Consider the following 24,245-nt stretch of genomic DNA (forward strand, 5'->3'; position numbering starts at 1 on the left):
TAACTGCAAACGATCGCGCTCGCAGGGAGGCCCCCAGTGCTTGGAAAACTCCAGGAATCCCTTCAGAGCACTTTATTTCCAGGCCAGCACGCGGCGCTCTGCAGACCTAGTACTGGGCTGTGGATAAGGAAGAGCAGAGCGGATGGGTTACGCCGAGGATGCCCAGGCTGAGCCTCGGAGTCTGGTGCTCCTGGACTCTGCTGAGGGCTGGGAGGGAAGGACAGGTGCCTTCCTCTGAGCCCGGCTTTGAACAGATCTGGTACCAAGGCGAGAGGAACAGCTTGATGACTCTAATTTCATAAAGGGACAGTGAGAAACTCGGGTGCTTTGGTGAAAAGGGCTCATCTGTGTAGTTACTTAGCAAAATCACATGGTTCGTAAACGCCAGATAAGTGTCCTTATCTGCAAAATCGGGGTACAAAAGCTTGTGTCACAGGCCAGATGTGATGATTAGATGATAATTAAACTCCCCGCAGTGACTGATGGAGTCAATGCTGTTTCCTTCCCCTCAAGTTAAGGATTTCTGGTAATTTTTTTCCCCCCTCAAAAAGGTCGGAAGCTTAGCTGAGGAGAGTTTGCAGTACATGAACTTCTTCCTTCCACTATGGCAGGTAGGAGTGTGTCAAGATGTCACAGACTGCGGTCCTATAAAGGGTCCATCCTGGAGACAAAGACTCAAGCTCACTTAAAGAAGCTGTTGCCTTTAGTCCAATCTAGAGATCACAGAATTATTATAAACATGTTTCAATTACCTACACAGCAAAAAATAAAGTTCAAAGAATATGAAAGAACTGAAAATGCAAAGTGAAGTTAGCTTTCCTCCTTGCCTAGACAACTACTGTGGTTCCTTTCAGAGATTACCTTACGATTTAAAGTGATATATATGAAAGAAAGAATGTTTGAAAAGGATAAATGTCAATTTCTTTCTCCTAAGTATTCCTAATTTTTACATTGGAAAAAATTATAAATCTAATTACAATTCACTTTTTTCTGTACATTTATCAGTCAAGTCTAAAAACTGAAAACTGATAAACAGCATTTACAATATTATTCAGTAATTTTTGCACTGTGAATTCTTAGTTATAGCAGAACTAAATAGTGTATTTGGAACCTTATGGAAGCAGTGTATCAATGAGTCTGCACCATGTATAGGTTTAGAGTATGAATGTATACTACCTGCATGGCCTGGGGAAACCCAAGCGTAGAAATGGCCATTAAAATTAATATCCCTTAGGTGCTTGGCAGAAGCAGATATAAACTTGACAAAGAGACAAGCTTCAATCCGGGTCTTCCAAGTGTCTTAAGAGGAGAGAATAATACAAATTAACACACACACTATGAACAAGAAAGAGCAAACACAACCAACAGAATTAGAAGATAGGATTACAACTCTTCAGATTTCAATAACTGAACAACCTATTCCATAGCATAAAGTTAGTTTAAAAAAATGAAGACTAAGAAGAAATACGTGATAGAACAAATCTGAAAAACCTATTAGAACTATTAATTGTGAAAAATATAGTCATGGACACTTTTAAAAAGGCAACAAATGGGTTAAACCTCAGGTTGGTTACAACTGAAGAGAGAGAAACTGGATGACAGATATGAGAAATTTACCCAGAATTCAACACAAAGGGATTTAGGATAAGAAATAGGAAAGAGAGGTTAAGAGGCAGGGAGAATAAAAATGTTTAACATATCTAATGGATTTCCATAAAGAGAGACTTGAGAAAATAAAGAAGGTGCAATATTCAAATATAATGGGGGAGAACATTCAGAACAGATGAAAATGAATTTTCAGAGCTGTTAAACAGTGAAGACACATTCTAGAGAAGGTATAAAATCAAGGAAAAAGGATGATCTTAATAACCAGGAAGAATAACACTCTACAAAGGAATGACAGATGTCAACAGCCGCAGAAGACAGAGGACTGTGGATACTATCTCCGAAGTAGGACAGAAAATAATTATGACTCTTGCTTTAAAATCATAACAACTAAAATTAAAATGAGTATTTAAATTTTTTTTCAGATTACTAAATTAACAGTACTGTCACTGTCTTCTGGGTAAAACGTTGCTCAGCTTGTATTTGAAGAGGCCAAGATATGGCTGTGGAAGAAATTTGTTCTCTTAAGTGGTGTAAGCCAGTACTTTTTTCTGCAGATAAACAGAGGAAGAAATATTCCTATCATTCCAGGGAAATTCTTCTCAAACTACCCTAGTCTTTGGCTAAAGTTCTGGTGCCTGTTTAACAAAAAGAGTCTACCTTTGGAAACACTGCTTCAGTTTTATGGACCTTAGCTTCAGGATTTGCTATTTTAAAATTTTCTATAAAAACAGTTTAATATTCATTTTCAGATCCCTAAATTTCTTGCTCCTTCTAAAGTCAGATCCTTCCTTGAAACTAGCTTTTAAACCAAAAGAAAGTAGGAGATCTGATGTCCTGTCTTGAGCAATAACATTTTTTTTTAGAGTCAGGGTCTCCCTCTGAGCTCAAGCTGAAGTGCAGTGGTACAATCATAGCTCATGCAGTCATGAGCTCCTGGGCTCAAAGATCCTCCTGCCTCAGCCTCCCAAGTAGTTAGGATTACAGGTACATGCCACTACGTGTGGCTAATTTTTTAACTTTTTGTGGAGATGCATTTTCACTCTTGCTCAGGCTGGTCTCAAACTTCAAGTCTCAAGCAATTCTCCCACCTCAGCCTCCCAAAGCACTATGATTACAGGTGTACGCCACTGCACCTGGCCAACTTATTTTATACTTATCATCTGTTGTAATTTCTCAGGAAAGAGAGTTATCTGTATTAGATCTTTTGGTCAGATAGGCCAACTACTTTTGACTGTCGTACTAAATCTGGTTATAGAGAAATATCATGAAGCAACACACCAAGTTTCTGCTTGCCAGAAATGTACTTGTTTTGCATAGCAGGTCTGACATGGGTTTCTTTGCATCACATATTGCCATACTGCAGTGGACGTACAGCTGCAGGAATTAAGAGGCATTTGTTAGTGAAGTTGGCCAGGGTTATAAGCACTATCCTGGTAGGCCAACATTTCCAATTAAATTTGCTTGGTCTAACCATATTCAACTAGAGGCTGCCATTTTAACCTGCTCTATAGTATGGGCTCATTAACTTAGATCTATTCCTAGGTAATATTAGCTAAATAGATCAAGGTCAAGAGTCTGAATTCTTCAATCTCTTGTGATTTCATTTGATTTATAGGTCTGGTGATTCTAAAGTTTTAGAATATGGTAACAGTTTTATATAATGGTTATATAGCTTAATATGCAAATGTTTGTATTGTACTTCTAAAATATAGGGAGTTATAGGCCAGGCACAATGTCTCATGCCTGTAGTCCCAGCACTTTGGGATCCTGAGGTGGGTGAATCACGTGAGGCGAGGAGTTTGAGACCAGCCTGGCCAACATGGTGAAACCTGTCTCTACTGAAAATATAAAAATTAGCTGGACATGGTGATGTACACTTGTAGTTCCAGCTACTCAGGAGGCTGAGGCATGAGAATTGCTTGAACCTGGGAGACGGAGGATGCAGTGAGCTGAGATGGTGCCACTGCACTCCAGCGTGGGCGATAGAGTGAGACCCTGTCTCACACACACACACACACACACACACACTATACAAATATATATATATATATATATATATATATATGGAGTTGTAAATAACAGACTTTATGTGCTATATGTATGATAGACCTATCATGAAAAATGTGAAGTAAAAAGATTATAAGTTAAAATAGAATGACTGTTATCTATCTCATCGCTGGAATGAATGACAATGGCTTTTTAGACTAGGCCATTTTATGAAAGAGTGTTACAGCCATTTTCAATTAAGATTTGCTAATTCATTCTAGTTTTTCTCTTGTCTAAATATCCACAACTAGACAAATCTGACTTTTTAAAATTAAATTGCTTTCACTTGGTCTTTAACCTGTCCATTGGCATATTTGAGCAAGTGTCAACACAGTCATAGATGAAGAACCTACTCACATCTTCCAATAATGCATTTTCTTTCTCCATGAAGGTAAACATTTTAAGTTCAAATCTCTTCACATGGGAAGGAAACTCACATCCATGAAGAAATTATATCCACGGGGTAGAAGACAGTTTCATGGAATCTCATCATTTGCATAGCTTTAAAAAAAAACACCAGAAAAGAACTAAGTCTCACTGTCACAGGAGACTCTAAATAGAGCTTTTATTCAAAGAATATATTAAGAGGTAGGATGGTTGAGTAGAGGCTGCAGGGTGCAATGAGATTGGAATTTTAAAACTGGCCAGGCGTGGTGGCTCACGCCTGTAATCCCATCACTTTGGGAGGCCGAGGCGGGTGGGTCACGAGGTCAGGAGATCGAGACCGTCCTGGCTAACATGGCGAGACCCTGTCTCTACTAAAAATACAAAAAATTAGCCGGGCATGTTGGCAGGCGCCTGTACTCCCAGCTACTCGGGAGGCTGAGGCAGGAGAATGGCGTGAACCCAGGAGGCGAAGCTTGGTGAGCCGAGATGACGCCACCGCACTCCATCCAGCCTGGGTGACAAGAGTGAGGGTCTATCTCAAAAAAAAAAAACAAAAACAAAAACAAACAAACAAACAAACAAAAACTATTGCTTTCTCGTGTACTGGGTCTGGACAAGCCAGGCAGTGCTTTAGTGCCTCTGTGCCCTTGCCTATGAGATGTTACTGACAACACCTTCACTATGACAGTGGACAAGAATATATAATGGAGGACTATTGTAAACTCACATTGTAGATTATTATTGGAGCGCTGACAAAGCCTACGAGTTAGTGGTAGGGTAAAAGAGAAGAATACTAGAAAAGAGTTCCTGGAGTACAAAGTAAAACTACAGATTCTCTGAGGAGCAGGACAGCAGTGTGGTAAGAACAAGGAACCAGGGGGCAGTACAGGATCTGATCTCATCTTCCCACCTCATTCTATTCCAGACCCATTGGCCCCCTTGCTGTTTCTAGAACATACTGATCATGCTTGGAATAATGTTCCATATACCAGCATGCCTTCCTGCCTTCAGATGTCTGCTCAAATGTGACTTCATTGCAGAGGCTTGCCCCTGTGATCCTGCATAAAATATCTCTCACTCACTCACATTGACTTTCATCTCTTTAACTGTTTTATTTTATTTTACTACCACATGACATTTGCTTCCCATTAAAACAGAAGCCTCATGAGAGCAGGAACTTTGTTTATTACTGTATTGTATTGCCAGAATCTATAGTATATGGATGGAAATGAGTGAATACATTGGAATAGGGATAGAATACCTGGGTTCCAGGCCTTCCTCACTGTGTTAACATGGACAAGACAGGACAAGAGTCTTGTCCATGTTAACACAGTGAGGAAGGCCTGGAACCCAGGTATTTCACTTGTCTGACTTGGAAGAGATAATATATGTTTTTTGCTTAGTAGTTGTAAAGATTAAGAAGGAAGAAACATTTACGAACACCTACTACTAAGCAATTTTCATTAAGCTCCATATCAATCTGATAAATATTAGTACTCCCATTTTACAGATTAACTGCATCTAAGAGAGTTTGTTAAAATCTAGTGCCATTAAAGTGTGCAAAATAAAGATTAAAGATGTAACATGCAAATGCAAGCTATTTTTTAAATCAAACTAGTTACCCTTTATCTTTTCTTTCCTTTTTTGTGGAGAACAGGGTCTTGCTATATTGCCCAGGCAGGCCTTGAGCTCCTAAGCTCAAGCTATCCTCCCGCCTCTGTCTCCCTAAGTGCTGGGATTATGGGCATGAGCCACCACATCTGACTGATTAAATTAGTAATGAAATTAATAACTACTTGTAACAAACCATCTATAATTTACTAGATAAAACTTGTATATAGTTTGGCCAGTTTCTTCATTTTTATAACTTTAGGCATGAAATAAGACAAGGAATAAGTAAAACAAAAATAATTCATTTGGATGTATTACCATTGCTATTATCTGATTGTTGAAAAGTTCATGTTTTCCACTTTTTATAGAGATCCATTACAACTTGAGAGTAATAATTTTCTAAACATTTCAGTCATTTAATAATTTTTTTCAGATAGGGTCTTGCTTTGTCACCCAGGCTGGAGTGCAGTGGTGCAATTCTGGCTGACTGCAGCCTCAACCTCCCAGGCTCAGTAGATCCTCCCAACTCAGTCTCCCAAGTAGCTGAGACCACAGGTGCATGCCACCACACCCTGCTAATTTTTGCATTTTTTGTAGAGATGGGGTCTGTGTTGCTCCTCCAGGTCTAGAACTCCTGGCTTCAAGAAATCTTCCTGCCTCAGCCTTCCAAATGTTGGGATTACAGACATGAGCCACTGTGCCCAGCCTAGAAGTTTTGGGATCTACTTATTTTTTTTTTCCCTTAGCAAAAGGGAAGTTAGGACAATTTACTATGATTATTGACAGCATCTTGAATTTCTACTTCATATATTTGATAAGTATATTGATTTGTAGGCCTTTTGTAATAACTTAAAGGTCTTCTAATGTTTGTATCACAAGGCTTGGCAAATGTTTAAGAAATTACATGGGAAGAAAAAGAAACTACATGGAGAATGCGTCTCATAGTGAAGCCTTTTAGGTCAATTAAGGTACACTAAAAAAAAAAAGTGAAGCAAAAAGGGTGAAAAAAAGGTGTAGATTTTTATGAATTCAGTGCTAGAGGGCATCTGTTAACATTTGTAGCAAGACTAGATTTTAATCTGAAGAGCACAGCCTTAATGTTTCTTCTTGCTTGAAGTTTTCCAAAAATATACCTCACTATCCAGATATTAGGTCATTTGCATGCTATAGGAACAGAATAATATAAACCTCTTAATTCTTCTGTGAAAGTTGACTTTTATGTACTGTCTTTATGCAGAATTAAAAAATTTGCATTTCAATGATTGATGAGAAAAGATAGATAAAAAGACTGTTGACATAGAAAAGTGAAAGCTACTGAGAGAAAAGTTTAATCCCAGGTAGATAAAATGTTCATTTCTGAGCCTCCTATCAGCCAAGGCAGGAAAGGAGACAGTGTCATGGGATTCATTTCCTGAAGACAAAGTACAGAAGAAAACGTTCCTGGCATTAAGCATCAAAAAGAACTGATACAATAAGGGCCAGTCCATTTTATTCCTCCATCTTCAGCAGTAGTTTCCTTGAAGATTCAGAGATGTGATGGTTTCACATTGATTCTCATTATGAGCCAAGGACACAACGTAATTTACTCTCAGAGTAAATTAGCCATAGGCAATGAGTTAAGGTGGCCACATTTCTGAATTTGAGGCAGAAAAGTTAACACTTAGAATATTTTTACTAATTTCCTAGGAATTTGAGATAGCATAGATGATTTGTGATAATGCCTCACTCTTCACTAAATAGTTACAGAGAGTGTAACTATTCCAACCATGGGACTCACCAGTCACTGCAACCTTTTAAAAAGCTTCATGTTCTTCAGAGCATAATATGTCTGTGCTTATCTTCCCCAGTAAATATAGGCTTAGAGCAGAAACTCTCTTGTTCACTGCTGTCTTCCTGATATGTAGACTGGTACTTGGTATGCTGCGCTCAATGATTTTGAGTGAATACATTCTTACCTCTAAGATACCTTCCATTGAAAATAAATCTATTCAGACTGGACTCAAAAAAATCTCAACTTATATTATTCACCACCCTCTATGAGAAAGAAATGAAACTTTTCAGATTCAGTTTCTATAAGCTTTGAGGGAAGAAAAAGGCTAAATACAAAGAGAATATGTAGAAGTAGTTTAAGAAAATAAATTAGGACTTATACCCTAAGCATTCTAATGAGTTGAGGGCTCAATTTCCTCGCTTGTAAACATCACACAAACACACCTGTTATCAGTTTGAAGTGCCTGTTAATAATGTTTCACTGTGGGATGCTCTTGGGATCTAGGCCTAGGGTAGATCAGCAATCCTCTAGAGATAACTCTAGTTGTGGATCTTCAGAATACAGAAGCTCAATTTTGAAGAAAACTGCTTCTTTTAAATATTTTATGACAGGGTATTTTACATTCTTGTAGAATTCTGAATACAATGAGTCAAATAATGTTCTTATTTGGAATTCTTTTCTTCACAGATTTAATAGAAAGTTTTAGCTTTAAAAATAGTAACTGTGATATAATAAAAATTAAGTTAGAAATATATTTAGGGCTGGGCACAGTGGCTCATGCCTGTAATCCTAGCACTTTGGGAGGCTGAGGCAGGAGGATCACTTGAGGTCAGGAGTTTGAGACCAGTGTGGCCAACATGGTGAAACCCATTCTCCACTAAAAATAAAAAAATTAGCCAGGCATGGTGTGGTGGGCCTATAGTCCCAGCTACTTGGGAGGCTGAGGCACAAGAATCGTTTGAACCTGGATGCAGAGGTTGCAGTGAGCCGAAATTGTGCTGCTGCAATCCAGACCGGGGGACAGAGCAAGACTTTGTCTTAAAAAAAAAAAAAAAAAAAAAAAAAAAAAGGAGATAAACTTAGGTTTGAGGATTCTTTCTAAATATGTATGCACAGATGAGAAATCCTAACACCAACCAGAGAACATTGTTTTTCTAAACTTTTCTGTTATTATTGCCTACAATTTTATTTTATACTATTATCTCCTCACTGCTTCCCCACTTTGATGACTGACTAGTCATTAAGATATTATCTGAATTAACTTAATAGCTAAAACTTTCTATGACCTGATGTGCCATAAATCTGAAAAGCCTAAACCTCTAAGAGTTATCTATACAGGGAACATACTATGTATTTATGTTAAATATATATTTGCTCTTACAGATACTAGGTGACAGCATTTGTCTATAAGTCTGAATACATTTTATTTCCTCATATTTCTAGAAGAAGGAATATAAACTCATGCATAGTTTATAGCACAGTATCAAGTTGCATTCTGTAAAGATGCTACCAAATTTTTTCACCATCAGCAGTGCGACAGCTGTTTACCACACACTTGCTGACATAAAATAGACGTTGCCAAGTATTTTAATTTGATAAGAAATTATAATTCATTTTTAATTTGTATTTCCAGTTTCTAGTGATAGACTTTTTAATATATAGAAAGTCTGTGTTTTTCGGTGAGTTTTATATATCAATTACTAATATCTATTTGATATTAGTAAGTTTTCACTCATAAGATCTGTTCATGTAGGATATTTGCCTCTTGTACTTTGTTGTAATATTCATTGAACTGAGCCTCAGTTTTCTAATTGATGAAACTACAGCGGTTCTTGCCTGTCTCTTAAGGTAGCTGAGGAATAAATGAGACAACAGACACAAGTAAGACTGATAGGAAGTGTTATATGAGGCCAAATTATTTTGTTATTGTTGCCTTGAACTGAATTGCCTTCCCATACTGCCAAGAAGAATCTATTTTTGGACACCTTCATGGTCAGGGCGATAAGACCAAGTCCTGGCTCAACACTGGGTACCAGGTTGTTCTTTGGTTGGTAATGAAATGTGACTGCATCATGGAGAAGATACCAGCAGGCACATCTTAATCTGAGGAAAATACAACAGCATCCCCTTAGAAAAGACACAACAGTTCTTGAATCATCAGGCATCACCAGCTGCAAAGCTTATAATGGAGTTACCCCACTTCCACCCACTTCTGCTGCCTTCTACAAACTCCGGGTGGTGAAGAAAAGGAGGGAAGTATTTAAGTCTCCTGCCTAACAAACAGGACCAAAAATTAAAACTTCTGGAGAAATCCCTTTTCTGCTTTGATCCTCCCTTCCCTTCACACCATCTTACTGGTACATAGGATCAGTTGCTCCAGGTTGGAAGTAAAGGACGTCATTTTCATTAGTTAAAATGTCATTTTCAAACTAGTTCAGTGAAGATAATTATGAACATAGCATCGTTCTCACTGGAAGTGGAGAAGACACATAGGTGTGGTAAAAAAATAATCTTACTTTTCTACGAGTATTCACACTGAACAAAAATGTTGCACTTGTTTTAGTAACAACTGCAGATTTGTCCCTTAAAGTGAATTCCTGTGGATCCAGGCCTGACGCTCCTTTCAGCTTCATTGCAGTAACTACCACAGAGCCCTTGGACTTGCAGTCTGGCAGACATTTAGATAGGTGAAGAGACTCAGGTCCAGAAATAGTGTGAACAGAGAAACATGAAAATGACCACTGCATGACAACTAGACATGTTAAGATATAATACACTTAAGATCAAGGTTGAGATTCCAAAGACCATAAAGGAAATCTTAGACCATGAAAGAAATAACCAAACCTGGAACAATAAATGATGATCTGACACTGCAGCTGCTAGAACGGTAATGGGGGTTAGAGATGGTGTCAATCCCAGTAGCCAAGGACTTGTATTTTAGTACCTGTAGAGTGACAGAAGCATCTCAAGCCTGTAAGAGGCTTGAATTAAAAATAGGACCCTTGCAGGAAGTCTAGATGCTCTAGGTATTATATTCCCACTGAAAGGGTAACCTAGAAACCTTTTGCTTCCACATAGCCATAAGAAAAGATAAGTTTCCCCATCTACAATTGAGGTCTTATGGCTGGAAAGTAAGAGGATAGTTTCCCTAGAATTTATAACACTAAGCCTGCCCTTACAATTTAATTCAGGGTTTTAGGTTTCTCAATCAGTGTAATGTAGAAAACCAAACCCATTTTCAAGAATGTCTTCCAGTTATGAATAACTTGGGGTACCTTGCAGAAAAACAAAGCTTCTATGGAAACACATTTTTCAAACCAGGCCACACAGACTATGTGCAAAGCTCTACTCAAGATAGGTTCAAAATACAAAGTAACAAAACACACGAAGAAATCTTTGAGTGTAAATCAGTAAATAGGATTGAAATTTCAAATAGAACGGTAAGAATTTACGAAGTCAGTAATCTCAGAAATTTATATAAATAGTATCAAACATAAGTCTAAAGTATTATCAAATGAGAAGAGGCATATATGAAAAAGCCAAATCGTTCTAGAGATTAAAACTCATTATTGAACTTAATAGAAGGAAATCAGAGAAATAGAAGCTAAATCTAGGGAAGCTGGTCACGGTGTGCTTTGTTATGCCCCAGCTGTCGTCCTCCCACTGATGTTCCAGAAGCAAGTTAATACTATCGGTGGCCCCGTAGTGCCTGTCTCCCACATGAGTCTCAAAGGAAACAGTGGAGACAAGATAACTGCAATGCTAAGGCACAGTTCTTTATGAGAATCTCAATTTCTACCTCACTAGGCAGTGATTTTTGAAATTGGTGATAAACTCGTCAGTAACATGGAAATAGACACTAGTGTTAATTGCCACCAAGTTATCAACTTTGTACAAATTCCAAGTATCCTTCATGTCCTTAACTTCTGTAATAATGCAAGGAAATACCCAAGTTTTTCTTCTGTGGTGCTACAAACACCTAATTCCTTTTAGAAAGCTGCTAAACACTCATATTTTGCTGATTAGAATCTCAAATCCTATACTTGGGGTCCATGTTGTAATAAAGTCTCATGCTACCATTAACTATACTTTCTTAGATAAGTAGTCCATGAAAGGTAGGTATTCCACTGATCCTTGTGCTATGGCAGGCCATGTTAGATGGTGTACCAGCATATGGGAGTCCATCTATATCTCACCTACATGTTTCTATATATAGGTTGATATCTATCTTTAAGTTTCAATTAAGTTACCAACCTTGTAATAACCACCTTCTGCACCAAGAGGAATCTTGATAGAAATTGTCTTGCCATCACTCTTCAATTCATAGTGCCTAGAAACAATGTCAGCTGTGGACAGTTTGTGAAGACTCACTCCCATCTCTTTAGAGAGGTCCTTGAAGTGGCCAGCCCCATTGAGAAGGGGGCTGATGTTCTTGGGGATGGTCAAAGTAATGGTGTCCGTGGAGTAATACATGCTATCTTAAAGATACATTGTACCCTACTTTTTGTACACGAACATTAGACTTAAGTTAACAGAATTTGGTTGTTGTAGAAAGAAGAAAGGGGCTGAGCGTGGTGGCTCAAGCATGTAATCCCAGTACATAGGGAGGCTGAAGTGGGAGGATTACTTGAGCCCAGGAGTTTGAGATCAGTCTGGACAACAAAGTGAGACCTCATCTCTACAAAAAATAAAAAATAAAAAAAAATTAGCTGGGCGTGGTGGCACAGGCCTGTGGTCCCAGCTACGTGGGAGACTGAGGTAGGAGGATCACTTGAGCCCAGGAGGTTGAGGCTATAGTGAACAATAATTGCATCAATGCACTCTGGCCTGGGTGACAGAGTGAGATCTGGTCTCAAAGAAAAAAAAAAGAATGTGTCAAGCAATGGGGTGTGGACATTGGGAAGGAGGATTATTTGAGAGACAGACTAAAACAACTAGAAAAATGAGGTCCTAACTCATTTATGTGGTTATGACACAATGAGAAAGCTACGATCTGAACTGTTTCCTAGAATAAGTAGGGACATTGACCAGGCCTTGAAGGAAAAACTTAGGAAACTAATGGACTACCAAAAATAGAGTTGGTAAAGTACTTTGTATTTTATTGTGTTAAGGATAGAAAGGGATGGGAAACTCTGACAGATAGGAGTAAGTGCAGCAGAGGTAAGGTGACAGATCAGCCAGCATGGAAGATACATGGAGGGGAAGCATGAGAAGAAGACGGGAGAGGGGAGCCCTAGATTGTGAAAGGCCTCCCATTTAGATTTTTCACCCTATTCACTTGGGTATCTGGGTAGGCATCTGTTTCCTACTTCTGTTGTCTCTGAATTGCCCCTTCCCTGCTGTGCTTGCCAGGGATATAACATGACTGTAGACACTGCCATGGGAGTTTGAAGGGTAGACTTGGCCATAATGGTTGTTTCAAGGATGGTTAGGTGATAGAGGCTGGGCTAGAAAGGGATCCATAGGGTACTTTTGCTTCAACCGTTGGGACTGAAGCATTTGCCCCAAAATCTTTCGCAATAAAGATGGACTCAAACTGTTCTAGGTTTATCTTTGCTACAACAGAGAGGGTCTTTCTGAGAATAAAGATGAAGGAAAAACCAATGTAGCCATGCCTTGTGTCAACTCTAACCCTGGAATTTTCAGTTTTCTAGATGAAGAACTTTTGTTTACCTGATTAGAACTGGGGATCTGTTGATTCCAACTAAGAGCCCTAATGCAGGAATAGTTCTTACCTTGTACAACAAGTTAAAAAGCCAGATATTCTCAAGTAAGTGCTACCAAAATTCAACTCCATGTCTTTTACCCACAGGGCAAGCCATAGCTGTGTCCACCATCAGAATCATCCAGCACTACTTGTAGAAAGTACTTGATCTTACAGCAGTAAAAGTAATACCTTGAATATGACAGGAATCACAAGTGATTGGAATCCTGGCAATTTGTTTTAAAGCTATATTGGTAAGTATAGCTTAACTACTATAGAGATAGACTTTAAAGCCAGCTTGCAGCAGGATCCTCGTGTCAGTCACATTGATTCTGTAGCCAGCCCTGTGGGCATCCTGCACCAGCATCAAACACCACATGACTGGTGCATAAAAGACCGTCTGCCAGATGGAAGCCACCCCTGAAGTCACCTGAGCTAAAAATCACAGGTGTGAGGACACTTGAAACTTCATAGTGAGAACTCCCAAACTCCATCTGACCATGCTTTTTAATGGGACCTCAAGTTCCCATCCTAGTTAAAGGTGAGATTCAGCGGCTCAATGGAAGAATCTCCTGGGCTTTCCTACCACACACTTGCCTCAGAGAAGGCCGCCGCCACCCAGTCCTCTGGCTTGTCCTAGAGCAGGTCCACGGGGATTAATGGAACTTCCTTCTTAACAGAGATCTTTGGGAAGAAGATTTGCTTAACCCTATAAATTTAAAAACACTTTAGGCTCCCTAGTCTTGGTAGATTTGATCTTCTTTTAACTTCAAATCAATGTGGTTATGATCTCATTCCTATACACAGTCAGTTACCTAGAAGCTATCATCTAATAGGTGACTGAGCTTCTGCATCTTCAATGTCATAACTCCTACAAAGAAAGCCAAGGGTAATTCTAGAGTACCTTGAATTCATTTAAGAGGATAGACTGCATAAGATAACTAGCAGAGAGCTGGCATGCAGCTGATACCCAGTAAGAGGTAGCTAGTCTTTCTTGATCCAGTGGAAGCATTGGTGAAGCCAATGAGAGTAGAAAAAAGTGACTCAGAGACAGCTACTCTACATAACTTTTGAGTGCTTACATTAACCCAGGTATTGCCTCTGGTAACTGATTTAAAGGATTTTTAGCTAGTTTTGTGCAGAATTAAGAGAAAACATGAAACTACAATGCATTTACTTCAACTTTATAAATCGTGAGCTGACTTCTGGCTTCTAGAATTTTTTTTACTGGCCAAAATATATAATAACAGTAATTCTCTCTTGTAAGAATGGAGGGTAGTAAAGCCACATGTCCATGCTTTTCTCTGGCACCTGCAGAATATTAGGTTTAAAGATAAGGGCCTGTCCTCTCTGAAAGATATTGCCTTTAATCCTACTTCTACTGCTTTCTGTGTAAGATTTTATTTACTTAGCTCCTAAGCTCAGTTCCCTCATTTGCAAAAAGGGCAAGACACCTCACAGGGCTATTGGGAGATTGGGTTCATGCCTGTGATGTTCTTACAGTGCAGGGCACGTATTAAAGGCTCAGTAGATGGTAGCTCTTATTGATTTCCTCCATTTGCTGGGACTGAGTATCATACTGGCCACATGAGGATAACAGTGTAGAACTCCAGTGCGAAATGAAGAGCTCCAGGAGACAGACAGCCCCATTGCTGAATTTTACACTTAGAAAAACTGTGAAACACTAGAAAAATCTGCTGGTAAATGCATACCTGAATTTCTCCCCACTAGCCCAAGTACCTTGAAGACAAGTCTTACTGACTTTCACAACCTCCCTGAGCACCTCATGCTTGGTCTAACAAGTCATCTACTTGTTGGAAAATTTTAAAGTTCTCTATTACTGACATGGACTAATGTGGTAATAGCTAAAAGGTTGACATGGACATTGATATGGCAACATAACTAGTTTATGGGTCTATGAAGTTAATTGACTCTTTTGGATGGCAAAAGGAAATGGGTGGAAATAGCAAGAGCCACACTAAGCTTGGATCACTTTCCGACACAGAGCACTGTGGTGCCTTCTTTACCGGGCCAGGAGCGAGTCTTCCTCTTACTTCCATGTAGTTTGTCTCACGTGATCTCTCTGGAAAACCATGAGGTATAGGGGCAGCCCACGCTTTTCTGATAAGAAGCAATGTCAGCTCTGGCAGGATCCGTGGCAACATCAAGTTGCACAGTTATGATAAAGTCGACATCTCTCTGCAGGGAAGAGAATTCTGACCTTATCAGAATGGGATACTTGTTTTCCACATGAGGACCTACAGCTCATGTGGAAGTTTCAACTGAACCAAATGTGATGAGCTCTGTGTCACATGGTCTCATTGTATGCAATGCTTTTCCCTCTCCACATGAGAGGCAGCCTGTGAACATAAGCTGCTCAATGCCAGCACCCAAGACAGCACCTGATGCAAAACAAGCACAATTTGAACACATGAAACAAAACAAACCTTACCATATGGCCTTAACCTGCTTATATAAGCTCCAAATTCCACTCTTTCTAGGGACCTCCTTGTGAAGCCACATTTGGGTGTTTTGAAAGTAACTTACTTTGTAGGCCTTAAAACTGATGGGGCCTTTGGGACTTCTGGAAGGGGCCAGCACATCTCAGAAAAATAAATGCAACAAATTAGCTTGGAAATCCTTGGATAGATGCCAAACGTTAGCATTCATACAATAAAACTAACTTCATTTATTCAAACCAAACCACATAGCTCACTTCTCCATGAATACTATTGTGAAGAGAACCACTCCCCCAACAAGTTGGTTGTCCATGCTGTGGTGCACTTATAATAAGTGATACTCATTGCTAAGATGCAGTGCAAGAGAATACAACCTCACTCCTCATGAGCCATGGGATTGGACTTGCTGCAGAGAATCCCTTGGATAGGGGTTTTACTCCAGCCTTAAGAGAGATGTGTTTGTGTTCAGCTCAGCCTTTTTTTCTTTTCCTAAGCGCTTGAGGAAGCCAAGAGTAAGAGTCTTAATATAATCAGTAACCCAGAGAAGATCCAAAACTCCAAGCTTATCACTTCTTTTAAGGCAGACTGTGTACCAACTGTTAAAGCAAACTAAATATGGCCTGTGAAAGACTGTGTACTTCTTTTTTTTTTGAGCTGGACTCTCGCTCTCTCACAAAGGCTGGAGTGCAGTGGTTCAATCTTGGCTCACTGCAACCTCCGGCTCCTGGGTTCAAGTGATTCTCCTGCCTCAGCCTCCTGAATAGCTGGGATTACAGGTGCACGCCACCATGCCCGGCTAATTTTTGTATTTTTAGTAGAGATGGGGTTTCACCATGTTGGTCAGGCTGGTCTTGAACTCCTGACTTCGTGATCTGCCTGACTTGGCCTCCCAAAGTGTTGGGATTACAGGCCTGAGCCACCGAGCCCAGACAGGACTGTGCACTTCTATATTTGTGTCCTTGTGGAAGAACTGCAACCTAACTTAATAGGTAGACAAGATTGAAAACCTAACTTGGGAGCATGTGTCTGTAACAGTGACTGTGTCTTGGCCAGTCCCAGCAGCCATACTTCAACCACTCATACATACACTCTTGTGTTCAAACTGTGTTCAAATAAAGCAAACACTGGGCTGTAACCCATCCAAGTTGTTTCTGTGCCTCATTTCTGATTTCTGTATGTCACTTCCTTTTTTGTCTACAAATCTTCTTCCACTACATGGCTGCACTGGAGTTCCTCTGAATCTGCTGTGATTCTGGGTGCTGCCCAATTCGCAAATTTTTCATTGTTCAATTAAACTTTTTCAAATTTGATTTGGCTGAAGTTTTTCTTTTAACACAACCAAACAAGTCCTATTCAGAGGGCATGGGACACTCACCTGTATATAGGTGTAGCAGCTGAGGAGAGATGCCTGGAGCCTACGTTTCCCCAGTGGTCAGAGAGGTTGGTGTAGCCACTCTGGGCAGCCAGGGCCTCATCTGTCTTTCTTCCTGAGCCAAACTGATCTGAAAGAGCCCCAGACAGCTTCTTACCAAATGCCCTTCTTCCTGTTTAGCCTCCAGGTGCTAATCCACCAGCCCCTACTTTATAGAGGAGAAAAAATACTTTAAGTTCACACAGCTGAGAAGAGCTGCAGCCAGGGTGCAAACCCAGGCAACTGACCCAGAGCCTGCATGCTCAACCCCTTTTTTGGGGTTTCAGGTTATTTTTAATAAAAGCAGAAATTTTGGTGCCCATCTTATTGACCCATGCCCCTAAGCCTCCAGGAAGTGCCTGGCACCCCAAAGGTGCTCAACTGGTGTCTGTTAAAAAATAAGTTACTATAATACTATGTGGCAGGGGCTATGCTGGGCACTTGACAACTATCATTTCATCCATGCATCTCACTGCCCTCTGCAAAAATACATGGCATTGTCCCCAACTTATGGGAAAACAGAGGGTCAGAAAGGCTAAGTGCGCTTCAGGGGCACACAGCTATTGAGGAACAGAGATGATATGGTGTTAAGCCTAAGTCCAAAGCTCTCTCCATAATCATTTGTGGTTTCTAGAAAATGCATGGTGACTTATTGAAGAATTAGCCACCCAAACAGCTGTTTCTTCATGGTAGTCAATTCTTTAGATACATACATCCACCAAAATGTGAAATTCACCAATTATGCCATCGCCAGAGTTCTAGGTCCCAGCAAAATACTCTTCAGATGGCACATGGGGCTGTGTTAATGCTATGAAAGCTAGAAGCTACCAAAGATTTATGGGAAACATGAGGCCCTTTGGAGCTCTCCCTACACAAGATGGAATCCTTGGAAGTGACCCAGACTAAGAAGAGATCATGTGACCACAACACCCCATGAGAACTGAGAGCAGTTTAAGACTGTACCTGCAAAATCTGTGGTACTCACCAACTACATGAAAGTCAAGATACTTGTCTCTGACATGGGCAAAGACATACTTGTCTCCCCAGGCTCATTTGCATGAGGCTCCCCACACTTTCAAGGATAATGAAGTCTGCATCTGTGTGTGCAGAAGCAAACAGAAGGAGGCAGTGAGCCTCTGGGTGCCACTTTTCCTAGCTCCTCCTTGCCAGGTGGACAAGAAAAAGCTTATCACCAACCTGCATCAGGGGCCCATGTCTGAAAGCCAAAAGCTCCTACAATAATTAATCTGATAAAAGAGCAAACTGTACTGTCAAGACTCTACAGGGATACCTTTTTCCTTCCTGCTTTGAGAGGTATAAGAAGTTCACCAAACATTCAGAAAGAGAGAGAGACAGGAGAAAGAGAGAGAGGTGGCTGCGCACAGATACAGAGACAGGGAGAAAGACAGGGAGGCAGGTGAACAGAGATACGGACAGAGACGCTGACTAATTCCCTGACCTCTATTGCCTAAAATGCCAGAATCCTTGAGGCCCTGTGGTCTGCTCAGCTCCAGGCCTACAGTAAGAGCCACACAGAATTACTTACCTCACAGTACGATGCGGAGCCATGGCACAGCAAGACACTTCTCTGCCTTTTATCTCTGCAGAGAAGCTCTGCTTTCTGCTTGGCCTAGCGGCATGGAACTGGCCTCAATAGGATTTGTGATCCTCAGGAGAATCTATTACAGCTGCTTCTCCTTCACCCAGAAGCAAAGCAGGATCCAGGACACAGCTGCCCTGCAAGGAGGTCCTGGCCATCTGCTGATTACTTCTGAACGCTTCCCTTTCCAGCCCACTCAGAATGTTCCATAACATTCGAGTAGAGTCCCAAAGAGAGTTGCCTGGTGCAAATACAGGCTGCCCACTTCAATTTGAATTTCAGATAATACTTGGAGTATTGCAATCTTTGGAATATATGCAATAGTTGGAACATACACACTAAAAAATACCCATTGTTTATCTGGAATTCAAATTGAATTGACATCTTGTATTTTTATTTGTTCAGTTTGGCAACTCTACTGGTTTTGCTAAGCAGAAAAGAAAAACTTACGATGAGTAAGAATATATGTATACATACATATATGTATATATTTCCAATTAGAATATGTTTTTTGACCACTTTTTATCAGCTGTGCAAATTAAATGGTAACAGGAAAAGGCCTGTAAAATGTTCAGCCAAGACTAAAAATCAGCTAGGGAGTGAGTAAACCTGAATGTATGTGTGTACATTAAATCATCTCTCTCTTACTAGAATGGGAATTTTTCCATTGCAGGAATATGTTATTTATTTAAAAACTTTTAAAGAGGACCTGCTATTTACAAAGGACTGTAAATACAACTAGTGTTGTATGAGTGAATAAAACAGTGAATGCCTTGCCTGTTTGGGGTCCGCAAATCGGTGTCTTACACACCCGGTAACTCCAGCCCCCAGTCCCAGCATGAGAGGCATTCAGGAAATTCATGCTGATTGGAACTCTGTCTGTTTATTTACTTATTTATTTATTTATTTATTTATTCTCAGCCACCAATCCTGGTTGGGTAACCTGTGCTCAGAGAAGGCTCATGAAGCAGCTTATGGCTGATGGGCACTTAGCACAGCCCTGACAAGGATGAGGAAGGAGCAGCTGGCTCCATGATTAATGTGTCACAGAGTCTGGTTTTTCATTTGCTGCCAGTGATGGGCCAAACGCTGGAAGGTTTTCTTCCTCCATTTCACGTACCAGAGGCTCTCTTAAGGAGCCACCACGAACATTGCAGAGCGGCCTGTGTCTGTAGCCTGCTGAGTGCTCTCCTCTTTGGGCTGGGCTTCTGTGTTGGCCTGGACGATCTCCGAGGGCCATGCTAGCCTGGGTGCTCCATGCTTTTTTTGTTAAAGAAATCTTCCTCCTACAAGGGCTGTGGTCGCTGAGCTGCAGCTTTTGCAGAGGCCTGGGAGGGTCTGGCTGGAGCCAGGGTTGGTGACTACAGGAGGCACAGAGGGGTATCTCCTCTCAGCTTGGGACTTCCTGGCAACACAGCATCATATCTCTTGTTACAGGTGCTAAAGTACAACTGCGGGGAGAATTTCCAGGATCTAGAACATCCTTCACCAACTGGGGCCCCAGGAGTGATTTCTTAGAGGGCAATGTGAGTGCCTATCTGGAGACAACTGGGGGTGAGCTGGAGCCATTCTGGCTGAATGTGTAAAATTGATCAAAAATAACTTTGGAAACTGTCCCAACTGATGTCAGTTGATGACACCATTTCCAGGGGTGGGAGGGAGCTCTATCTTGTAGGTCTAGTATCTCAGAGATAACGGCTTTGGGGTCATCAAAGACTGTGCTTAATTCTTGGTCTTAACACCATTAGCTGTGTGACCTTGGAAAGTCATTTCATTCTTCTGAACTGAGGTTATTTATCTGTAAAGTAGCAAGTTTCTTTCTTTTTTTTTTTTTTGAAACAGGGTCTCACTCTGTCACCCAGGCTGGAGTGCAGTGGCGCTATCGTGGCTCACTGCAGCCTCGAACTCCTAGGCTCAGGTGATCTTCCCTCCTCAGCCTTCTGGGTAGCTGGGACTACAGGCATATGCCACCACACCTGGCTAATTTTTTGGATTTTGTGTAGAGACAGGGGTCTCACTGTGTTACCCAGGCTGGTCTTGAACTCCTGGGCTCAAGCGATCCGCTTGCCTCAGCCTCCCAAAGTGCTCGGATTACAGGTGTGAGCCACTGTGCCTGGCCTAGCAGGTTTCTACGTCACAAGTTTCTCATGTAAAAAGCATCTGGCAAATTTGGGGCACACACTGAAGAGGGCATGGAGGAAACTCCCTGCTCTCCTCCCACCTCCAACTCCTACCTGGAAGAATAAAGATTCCCTAAAAATTGTGTGTGCATGTGAGAGGGAGAGGAGAAAGAGAAACTATTGAGTATAAAATAAGTGACCGTTCCTCAGTATTCCAGCAATGATTTCACTGTTTTGTGCAACATTTACTTTATATTTTAAAAATGGCTGAGTGGCAAAATTGAGTTGTCTTGGGCAATTAAGTGAACAAAGAGGGATGTAGACTCACATACTTACCGTGCTCATGAAAAGCCTCCTGGAAGTAAATGCAACAGCATGGTAACAGGATTATTTCTGCATGTGGGATTATGAGTCATTTTAATTTTCAGACACTGCGATTTTGTGCAGATGCAATAGCAGAAGATGCCCACACAGGGGAGCCTGTTGCCCTCTAATGGCTTTTGGGAGGCGCTCAGGAATCCACTGGTGCCCAGCTTCGGCGCTCAGGGGATCCTGTTTTAGTCCCAGTCCCTGAAAAGGCCCCCTACTGAAATAAAACCTGCCCTAAGCCCTCCTTGATAACATTAGCTGGTCCTATTTGCAGAAGGCAAATGATATTCTCAGGCCTGAAGGAGGTCACATTTTCCTCCACTTAGCAGTGTGGCTCAGTGGCAGGGACAAGGCCCATCTCACCTGCTTTATTGGGTTAGCTATTGGGTTGAGTGGGGCTTTTCCTTTGCCCAGTAGGGATCACTAGGGACATGCATAAGCGAAAGGGCAGAATGGCTCAGCAGAGGAAAGGTGCCCACCACAAGCCCAGGAGTAGGAGGCTCCAGGAGATGAACACAGGACATTGCAGGAAGGTGAGTGTGTGGTTCCCTGCGTGGACACCTGCCCAGCATGGGTCTTGCAGACCTGCCCCAGCCAACCCCAGCAAGCAAGAGGACTGGGAGGGAAGGCAGGGGGGAGGAAGGCAGTGACGCTGCTCTGCTCCTACCCTTTGGTGTGGCCAGAATAGTGACTTTCCCCGGGCCCTGCTGGATCCCTCAGGAGTGCAGGTTTGCCCTTAAGAAAGCCTCTGTAAGGGGAGACCACTGAGAGCAAGAGAAAGTGGGAGACAGAGAATCTCCAAGCTCAGTGGAAGGCAGGGAGAAGGCGCTGTCAGGTCTCCGAGGTGAGTCCCAGCATGAGCTTGTTCCCCTCATGTCACCAACAAAAGCAAGCCCAGCATACACCTGCCATGCAATGACATTGAGGGCCATTTGTGGAAACTAGAGAAGGCGCGAGTGCTAACAGAAGACCACAGCAGTAGCTGATACAGTTAAAACAAAGAAGCAGCCCCCAAATAACACATACCCACCCCCACATACCATAAAAGGCTTGTTCCTCTCTGTCCCTTCTTCCTGCCTCAATATCCTGGAGGTCTTCACCCTAAAGAAGGAAAGGGCAGGGGGCTGGGGAAGAACAAGTCCCCTCCACAGCAATGTGCAGCAAGGGGAGGCCTAGACCACATCTGTCCCCCACTCCAGGTCCCCTCAGCTACAGACCACACCTGTCCCCCACTCCACGTCCCCTCAGCCACAGACCACACCTGTCCCCCACTCCAGGTCCCCTCAGCCACAGACCACACCTGTCCCCCACTCCAGGTCCCCTCAGCCACAGACCACACCTGTCCCCCACTCCACGTCCCCTCAGCCACAGACCACACCTGTCCCCCACTCCACGTCCCCTCAGCCACAGACCATACCTGTCCTCCACTCCAGGTCCCATCAGTCACAGACCACACCTGTCCCCCACTCCAGGTCCCCTCAGCCACAGACCACACCTGTCCCCCACTCCAGGTCCCATCAGTCACAGACCACACCTGTCCCCCACTGCAGGTCCCCTCAGCCACAGACCACACCTGTCCCCCACTCCAGGTCCCATCAGTCACAGACCACACCTGTCCCCCAATCCAGGTCCCCTCAGCCACAGACCACACCTGTACCCCAATCCAGGTCCCATCAGTCGCAGACCACACCTGTCCCCCACTCCAGGTTTCCTCAGGCACAGACCACACCCATGCCCTACTCTAGGTTTCCTCAGACACAGACCATACCTGTGTTTCACTCCAAGTCTTCTCGGCCACAGACCACACCTGTCCTCCTCTCCAGGTCCCCTTGGCCACACACCACCCCTGTCCCCCATGCTAGGTTTCTTTAGCCACAGACCAGCAAGTGACGGGGCAAGTGACAGTTGTGGACCGCTGGGAGATCACTGTCAACATAAAATTTTATTTTAAACCAAACTGGACTTTTAACAACCAAAACGACCTGAAAGGTTGTTTAATCTGCTCAGTGTATCACTAAGGAACAAAAAAAGCCATTTCACAGTCAGTGAAGTCAGTGATTGGAAAAACAATCCTGTTCCTAGTTTATTCTTAGATTAAGACTGATTAACAAGCCCCTCTGGATCTCAATTTTCTCCTCTTTAGTAAGCAAGCAGTGCTGGTCAGCGCTCCTCCAACAGGGGCAGACTGCTGAGGGGAGGGGAGGCGGAGGGTTGCAAGGACCTGGCTCAGAGCAGTCAGAGGTGAGGGCTACCAGGCTGAGCCAGGCCCCTATCCCCGTTTCTGTTTTTTTTTCTTTTTTTAAGGTAATTTCAACTTTTATTATGTTTTTGGTTTTTTTTCCCGCTTTATTTTAGTTTCAAGGGTGCATATGTAGGTTTGTTACATGGGTAAATTGCGCATTGCTGAGGATTGGAGTACAAATGATCCCATCATTGAGGTAGTGAGAAGACCACCCGATAGGTAGTTTTTCAAGCCTTGCTCCCTTCCCACGATTCCTCCTCTAGTAGCCTCCAGTGTCCACTGTTGCCATCTTTATGTCCATGTGTGCTCAGTGTTTAGCTCCCACTTATAAGTGAGATCATGCAGTGTTTGATTTTCTCTGTGTTAATTCACTTAAGGATAATGACCTCTAGCTACATCTGTGTTGCTGCAAAGGACATGATTTTGTTCTTTTTTTATGGATATGTAGTATTCCATGGTATATATGTACCACATTTTCCTTATCCAATCCACCACTGATGGGCACTTAGGTTGATTCCACGTCTCTGCTATTGTGAATAGTGCTGCCATGAATATATGCATGCATGTGTCTTTTTGGAAATTGATTCATTTTCCTTTGGGTATATATCCAGTAATGAGATTTCTGGGTTGAATGGCAGTTCTGTTTTAAGTTCCTTAAAAAATCTCCAAACTGCTTTCCACAGTGGCTGGACTATCTCACATTCCCACCAACGGTGTATAAGCATTCCCCTTTTCTCTGCAACCTTGTCAACATCTTGTTTTTTGACTTTTTGATGATAATCATTCTGACTGGTGTGAGATGGTATCTCATTGCAGTTTTGATTTGTATTTCTCTAATTATTAGTGATATTGGGCACTTTTTCATATATTTCTTGGCCGCATGTATGTGTTCTTTTTAGAAGTGTCTGTTCATGTCT

General features: G+C 41.9%; 1 long non-coding RNA gene and 1 pseudogene across 1 annotated transcript; both read right to left on the minus strand.

The window, feature by feature from the left end:
- Window positions 1-3,960: 3,960 nt before the first annotated feature.
- Window positions 3,961-18,751, minus strand: LOC112267888 (uncharacterized). The gene is made up of 4 exons (XR_939764.2): window positions 18,544-18,751; window positions 17,983-18,094; window positions 16,962-17,088; window positions 3,961-4,155 (listed from the first exon to the last, which is right to left on the minus strand). It is a non-coding gene; the product is annotated as an uncharacterized LOC112267888 (long non-coding RNA).
- On the minus strand, window positions 11,051-17,062 carry ZPAXP (zona pellucida glycoprotein AX, pseudogene; annotated as a pseudogene).
- Window positions 18,752-24,245: the final 5,494 nt, after the last annotated feature.

This window comes from Homo sapiens, chromosome 2 (genome assembly GCF_000001405.40).
Source record: "Homo sapiens chromosome 2, GRCh38.p14 Primary Assembly".
NCBI lineage: Eukaryota > Metazoa > Chordata > Mammalia > Primates > Hominidae > Homo > Homo sapiens.